The sequence below is a fragment of the Homo sapiens genome, chromosome 6 (genome assembly GCF_000001405.40).
Source record: "Homo sapiens chromosome 6, GRCh38.p14 Primary Assembly".
Lineage (NCBI taxonomy): Eukaryota > Metazoa > Chordata > Mammalia > Primates > Hominidae > Homo > Homo sapiens.
The window spans coordinates 87,038,208-87,046,372 of record NC_000006.12 but is presented as its reverse complement, the minus strand read 5'-3'; the positions used below and the strand labels follow the sequence as shown (position 1 = coordinate 87,046,372).

Here is an 8,165-nt window from a genome sequence, read left to right as displayed (position 1 = left end):
TGGAAGTAAGAGATGCTGGACTTTGGTGCCTGTATTGCAGCCATTTGAAATACATTATAGAGCTAGGACAGCAGAAAACTAGTAAAACCCAGCTGGTGAAAACTAATTACATTCCCATGCTCCCATTTTATGAGACAATCTCTTAAATTTTGGAATTGATTTCCGGATTGCCATCCCATAATCCTCCTGTACTTAGAAAAAATGTAAGCTCTATAAATGACCAATTTAAACAAGGGATCCTAGGAATTAAAGTCAAGGGACTAGGGGAATGATAGGCTATTATTTGGATTCACAAGGCATGTCATTTAGCTTTTATTGAATAAGAAACTACCCCAAAATGTAGTAGTTTTAAACAACAGCCATTTATTTAGCTCACAATTCTTTACATCAGCAGTTTGGACTGAGATGCATGCTGGGTGATTCTTCTGGTTTCAGCTGGCACCTGTCAGCTCTGCTTCCAGGGGTTGGTTAGCTCTAAGTTTGGGTGGCAGGGCTGACCACATGTCTTTCATATCCCTTAGGCTAGTTGGGCTTCTTCACATAGTAGTGCTGGTGGCAGGGGTCCTAATAATAGCAAGAAGGGACGTCCCAATACAAAAGTACTTCTGAAGTCTCTGCCTGCATCGTGTTTGCTAGCATCCCATTGGTTAAAATATGTCACATGACCAAGCTGAGCGTCAAGTTTGAAGGCATTGAAACTTACATGACGAGGAGGATGATGGATACAGGGAGAGGAAGCATGTGTGACTATTTTTTCAGCTTACTGCATATGGTTTATTAAGACCAACTATTGAATTAAGTGGGGGAATCCTGGTCGTATAATTGTGACACAACCCAAAAGATGTTACTGTTTTTTTAAATATTAGAGATGTTTCAAAGATAAGCTTAGTGGCAAATAACAGGTATGTTCAGCTAAAATTAACACTTTATATAAAGACTTTTGGTAATGCTATTTGGATTATCAGGCTTTATGGATTTCAGAGGGAATCGTGAGCCCTCTGTGCTTAAAGTTTCTATGATCCACATTAGAAAGTCCTGAGAACTTTTGCTTAGGTTCTAACATGGTTACCTTAGAAAATTCAGTGAAATCCACCCAATCCTTATGTGTCTATAGTTTTAGTAAAATTATGTATTTTTAGCTAATATGTGTTAATATGTATGTAATTATATCATGGATGACTTTTAGTGGAATGGTAGTTGTAAAGGCAAGTTGGAATAAGATACTGCATTCTAAAAGGTTGAGAACTGTTGATTCACAGAGCTGAAAGAGGCAATTTTTCATCACTGCCTAATATTAGAGTGACGACAGAAGTGATAGGATTCATCTGTAAAAAAAATACGATCACCCCACCTCCCTATCCTACTCAGTCTGTTCTACTAAAGCTTAGCTTTGGTATTTCAGAAAATTCAAGATACAATAATATTTAGTTTTAAGAAAATCACCTAATTTTTTTCTTGTCTAAATAATTAGCACCACTGTATATAAACTAAAGTCAAATTGTTTTCGTACTTAATATTTCAAGTAAGAACTTTCTGTTCTATGTTAAAACTTTCCTAAGGACTCTCTCTTAGACTACTGCTTAGTGATTCTTTCTATGTCTTTTAAGGAAATTACTAATTTTCAGACTCCTTTTATGTTTCTTTCTTGTGATAGATGCAGGATATTTTCTTGACCCCTTTGTGGGACTCAGGACAGGGATGCCTCATTTACTCAGCCCGCCCCTGTCTATTCCTAGTGGGAGGGAGTGTATGAGCAAATGAGTGCAGGAACTGTAGTGAGAGAGTGTGGGAACCAGCCAACCACTTTTGGGTGGCAGCAGGTGCAAATTCTGTGCAGGCCCCATGGCAGCATCCAGGTGGGGGTGCCTGTGATCCCTGAAGCCCCAGAGGGCATGTTACAGTGCTGTTTCAGCTCTGCCATTCATGGACGGCTTAAGTGTTAACAGCTCAGTGGGCCCTTTGCCTTGTCACATGGGGCAGTTGTCCTCCACTAGTTAGGGTAAAGGGCCAGTGTGACAACCTCTTTTTTTTTTTTGGGTATCCACAGTCATGGCTCCTGGGTTCTTGTCTACTGTCCAGGAAAAATGAGGTCACACAAACGAGTTGAAGGATGGTAAATGTGGAGGATTTTATTGAATGCTGAAAGTGGCTCTCAATGGGAAAGGGAGCTGGAAAGGGGATGGGATGGGCAGGTAACCTTCCTCTCAAGTCTGGCTGTCTCCAGCCAGACTCTTCTCCAAAGTCAAGCTGTCAAGCCATTCCTCTGAATTCAAATCACTTCTTTCCAATGTCCAGCTGCTTCACCCCTTCTCTCTGACTGAGTCTGGGGTCTTTATAGGCACAGGATAGGGGGCAGGGTGGGCCATGAGTACTTTAGGAAAAGGCAACATTTGAGCAAGAAAACAGGCATAGAAGTTCTCACTTTGGGCTGTGGGTTTTAGGCTTTTTGGTTTGAAGGTGGGGTTTTGTCAGGGACCCGCCCCTGTCTGCCTAAAATTTCTCTGCCTCCTGTTGCTATCACTGTCACGTACTTGTTGTTCCAGAATTGACTGTGATGTCAAGCTTAAATAATTTTCCAGATGCAGACCAGCTTCAGTAATTAATATTATTTGAGAAGGTTGATTTGAAGGAGAACATTATTTGGGAAGGTTGATTTGAATTGAATTCAAGTCACTTTGATGAGAAAAATATTTATTGAATTATGATTCCACAAAGTGTTGAGCTCTTTTGATGTTTAAAAGTCAATAGTGCCTCCGTTGTAGGAATTTATACTTCATTTTAAGACCTGCTTATGAAAAAGTACTAGAAATAAGAGCTGTACTGCATAGCTAGAGTGGGTAGCATGGATCTTGAAATGAAAGAAGAGTTAATTCCACAAAAATGGCTAAGAAATAGGAGTTCTTCAAGGAGGTGGGACATGAGGTAAAACAGGAAGTGGGAACTCTTGAAATGGAAGTCACTAAGGAATTGAGACTCTAAATCATAGATAGAGTCTTAAGCACTGAAGAGTCTCTAATTTCTAGATTCTGCTTTGTTAAAATTCATTCCAAAGTGCAAGGTCCTGAGGTACCAAGAACAAAAGGAGCAATCCAGGAATCAAACTTTCATGGGATGCCCAGAGCCAAAAGAAGAGTGACCAGGGGGTCATACTTGGGAGTAATGGGAACTGGTGCCAAGTTCTTAAATAAAGATGGATTAAGGAGGGCCTTGGCTATCCAAATGAAGATCTTGTTTTTTTTTTTTTTAAACATTTATTTATTTATTTTTATCGACATGTAACAATTGTATATATTTATGGGGTACATGGTGACATTTTGATACAATGTATAATGATGAAATCAAGATAATTAGCATATCCATTTCAAATATTTATCAGTCTTTGTGTTAGAAACATTCAATATCCTCTCTTCTAGATCTTTGAACATACACAACACATTATTGTTAAGTTATCCTACAGTGCTACAGAAAACTAAAACTTATTGGTCCTATCTAGCTGTCATTTTGTATCCTTTAACAAATCTTTTCTTATCCCTCCCTACCCCCTACCCTTCCCAACCTCTAGTAGCCTCTGTTCTACTCTTTATTTCTATAAAGAGACTTGGGTTTGACTTGTGCACATCAGGGACCCAGAAATGTTAAAAAAGAATTTTATTTTTTTTAAGATTTGAGGACTGAACACTATTTTTTTAGTTATTTGGTTAAGGATGAATGGTGCCTGAAGGAAGAGCCTGCCAACCTGCTCTTATGGCCAGATCAGAATAATTGGAAACCAGCTCATTACTTATATACCAGTGGTGGCAGCTGATTTATTTTTCTTTCTTTCTCTTTCTCTCTTTCTCTTTCTCTCTTTCTTTCTTTCTTCCTTTCTTTCTTTCTTTCTTTCTTTCTTTCTTTCTTTCTTTCTTTCTTTCTTTCTTTCTTTCTTTCTTTCTTTTCTTTCTTTCTTTTTGAGACAGAGCCTCGCTCTTGTTGCCCAGGCTGTAGTGCAATCGTGCAATCTCAGCTCACTGCAATCCCCGCCTCCTGGATTCAAGCGATTCTCCTGCCTCAGCCTCCTGAGTAGCTGGGATTACAGGTGCCTGCCACCATGCTCAGCTAATTTTTTTTGTTTGTATTTTTAGTAGAGATGAGGTTTCACCATGTTGGCCAGGTTGGTCTTGAACTCCTGACCTCAGGTAATCCGACCACCTCAGCCTCCAAAAGTGCTGGGATTGTAATCTCTGTAGACATGAGCCACCATACCTAGCCAAAATTTATTTCCTTTTGGTACTCGAATTCTGCTGCACTCATGGTAATGCTTGCAATTATTCCTTTTGGGTATATGGTACAGATGGAAGTTTCAGATTCTCCATTTGGGATAACACCAATATCAAATTAATGGCATCTGAATAAATGATACATTATTTTGAAGAAAGGTGTCTTAGAACTCAGAGAACTTAGAACAACTTAGAGCTAGAGAAGAGAATTAAACTCTGTATTTTTATTCTGGCCATTCTTACACTAATCAGGGTTCTGTTATTCTATAAAAGTTAGTATTATGGACTAAAATATGATCCTTTCAAATCATATGTCAAAGCCCTAAGCCCCAGTGTGACTGCATTTAGGAGATGGGGATTTTAGGGAGGTAATTAAGGTTAAATGAGGTTATAAGCATGAGGCTCTAATCCAATAGGAGGGATGTCCTTATAAGAAGGGAAGGAGACACCAGAAAGCTCTCTCCCCCTCCACCCAAACACAAAGGAAAGGTTGTGTGAGGACTTGGGAGGTGGCTGTCTACAAGCCAGAAAGAGAGACCTCACCAGAAACAGAATTTGCCACTACCTTGATCTTGAACTTCTAGCCTCCAGAACTATGAGAAAATACATTTCTGTAGTTTAATCCAGGCTGTCTGTGGTATTTTGCAATGGCAACCTGAGCAGACTCATTCAGACAGTAACCTTCAAAATGAAAGACATTAGGTCATTTGGGCTGTGGCTTAGAGCTGCCTAATTTGCCTTGTTGTCTATAACTAAGTTCTACGCATGGGAAGTATCTAGGGTTTTCTAATAAAATTGCTAAGAAAATTACTTCAGAATTTCTGATAAAATTTTAATAATAACTTTAAAATTTATAATAAAATTACTTTTAAAAGTGTGAGGTCTCAGATCTTGACTTTTGTCATCATGGTGTACATGCCGTTCTCAAATTTTAGGGAGGAGTTTCTTGGCAATACTTTGGCAAGGACTATTATAAATTGTGGTCATGGATAAGAAATTTGGGAGACAATTTCCTAAAGAAATCTACACTGTTGTGCTGATAAGAGTAGTCGTGTTTCTTAATACAGAGCATCGATTCATGAACTCTAATTGAAGTTTGTGAGTGACCAAACTCTTCACGATAGCAGGGACTGACACATGTATTTGTGTAGTGAGTAGATTGTCATTTGGTTGCTGAGCATTATTTAACGCTATGCCAACAAGCTCTTTCTCCTGAATAATCCTGTGTTGCAATGTGTATTTATATAATAGTTGGTTTCCAGGCAGAATCAATATGATTTTGACTTAGGTTTTCTAGGACTCTTTTAGGATTTGCATTCTCTTAAATATCAATTAATGTGACTCTAAAATTAAAGCTGGTCTGCCAGACACTATTTTTTGCCACAGGATGTGCAATAATAACAATAATATTCCCTTCTTTCCTCCCTCCCTTTCTTCCAAAATGCTACCTGTTTCTAACCTTGTTGTCATAGAAAAAAATCTATCAATTCAAACAGAACCCATTAAGATTTTTTTTTCAGGTTAAAAATATCTTTTAGTAGGATAGTTGCTGTAGTTTCAACATCAGTTCTGGTCATGGCTAGCAGAAGCAATTCTGCATTGGCTGGTAGGCTTGTAATCTGGAATTGGTGCTCTCTGTGTGGCTCATGCCCAAATGCTGTTTCTTTCTCTCATGGAGCATTTTATGGACTTTTAAGGAACACCAGCTTCGTTTCCCTTACCAAAGCCTTCTGATGTCCCTTCTAGTCTACACTATGCAGTCTCTTTCTGCTGGGCTCACTGTATCTCTTCAGGGAGTCCTCTGGGGTAAGGGCCCTTAGAGGTCACTCAAGCCTGACTACCTGCTGCCATACTCACCCCAGGCCTTTGGAAACATTCTTCATCTGATGGGTGCAAGTGCAGCTTTCTCACATCCCAGGTTTATCTCCTGGCTCCTAAAGCCATTCCAGGCAGCTTCTCATTTTAAGAATTTCTATATAAAAGGTAGGCCCCAGTACCTACTCTCCAATTCTGTAGGATGCAGGTTAAACTTTCTCTCATGGCTGTGCCAGGACAGAGTAACATAAGCCTGCAGCTCAGTACATGTTCAGTTGGGGGTTCCCTTCCTCATTGTTCACCTTTTATCCTCCTAGAAAACACCACCTTTCTCTCTGAGCATTCCTCTGAAAGCCCTGTCCTTGAGCTAGTGGTAGGGGAAGGTGCTTATCTAATCAGAGTGGAGTTTGGGGTTGGAATGCCTGACACTCTTGACAATTCTGTTTGAAGGACTCACCAATAACTTTAAGTCATTTCTTAGCTTTCTCTCCTATATCCTGGTGATGTGCTAAGGGTTATAATCTTGATTTTTTGGATGCTTTTTAGCCAGTCCTGTATTTGGTGCCTCTCTAAAATGTAGAGATACCCGTTATCTGTTAGTTTCTGCTGAAACTAGATTAGATTAGGAAATGTCCCATTTAATATTCAATTGTAAGAAGAATAATTGGAATTGTGAAGAGGAAAGAAATCTCATAGAATTAATAAAAATGAAATGTAAATGTGTCATCAATAACTTACAATCAAGGTAGAAAAGCATAACAGGAAAATATGTTTTATAATTGTGAGCATTGCAATGTGAGATACTGCAGACAGTTAAGCACAGATAATAAACACACCGAATGCTATCTTAGGCATCTATTTTATTATATGAGCTCTTTATAGGGTATGCATATGAAACGACAATCTACAGGAAACATATTAGAGAGTATAACTTAGCAAAGTGTTCACATCAATAGTACAGCATTTGGGGGGCAGTTCCAAGATGGCCAAATAGGAACAGCTCCAGTCTACAGCTCCCAGCATGAGCGATGCAGAAGACAGATGATTTCTGCATTTCCAACTGAGGTACCCGGTTCATCTCACTAGGGCTTATTGGACAGTGGGGGCAGGACAGTGGGTGCAGCCCATTGAGCATGACCCGAAGCAGGGCGAGGCATCGCCTCACCCGGGAAGCGCAAGGGGTCAGAGAATTCCCTTTCCTAGCCAAGGGAAGCAGTGACAGATGGCACCTGGAAAATTGGGTCACTCCCACCCTAATACTGCCCTTTTCCAATGGTCTTAGCAAATGGCACACCAGGAGATTTTGTCCCATGCATGACTCGGGGGGTCCCACACCCATGGAGCCTCGCTCATTGCTAGCCCAGCAGTCTGAGATCGAACTGCAAGGCAGTGAGGCTGGGGGAGGGGTGCCCGCCATTGCTGAGGCTTCAGTAGGTAAACAAAGCAACCGGGAAGCTTGAACTGGGTGGAGCCCACTGCAGCTCAAGGAGGCCTGCATACCTTTGAAGACTCCACCTCTGGGGCAGGGCATAGCTGAACAAAAGGTAGCAGAAACCTCTGCAGACTTAAATGTCCCTGTCTGACAGCTTTGAAGAGAGTAGTGGTTCTCCCAGCAGGGTGTTTGAGATCTGAGAATGGACAGACTGCCTCCTCAAGTGGGTTCCTGACCCCTGAGTACCTTAACTGAGAGGCACCTCCCAGTAGGGGCAGACTGACACCTCACATGGCTAGGTACCCCTCTGAGATGAAGCTTCCAGAGGAACGATCAGGCAGCAACATTTGCTATTCAGCAATATTCGCTGTTCTGCAGCCTCTGCTGCTGATATCCAGGCAAACAGGATCTAGAGTGGACCTCCAGCAAACTCCAACAGACCTGCAGCTGAGAGTCCTGACTTTTAGAAGGAAAACTAACAAACAGAAAGGACATCCACACCAAAACCCCATCTGTACGTCACAATCATCAAAGACCAAAGGTAGATAAAACCACAAAGATGGGGAAAAAACAGAGCAGAAAAGCTGAAAATTCTAAAAATCGAGCACCTATCCCTCTCCAAAGGAACACAGCTCCTCACCAGCAATGGAACAAAGCTGGAT

At 40.7% G+C, this 8,165-nt stretch overlaps 1 annotated feature.

Annotated features, from left to right (window-relative positions):
- Positions 7,411–7,935: an enhancer, noted in NCBI's record as "NANOG-H3K4me1 hESC enhancer chr6:87748156-87748680 (GRCh37/hg19 assembly coordinates)". NCBI's record gives its function as "activates a minimal SCP1, AML or CMV promoter by ChIP-STARR-seq in naive H9 embryonic stem cells {active_cell/tissue: H9 hESC(naive)}" and the evidence as "EXISTENCE:reporter gene assay evidence [ECO:0000049][PMID:30033119]".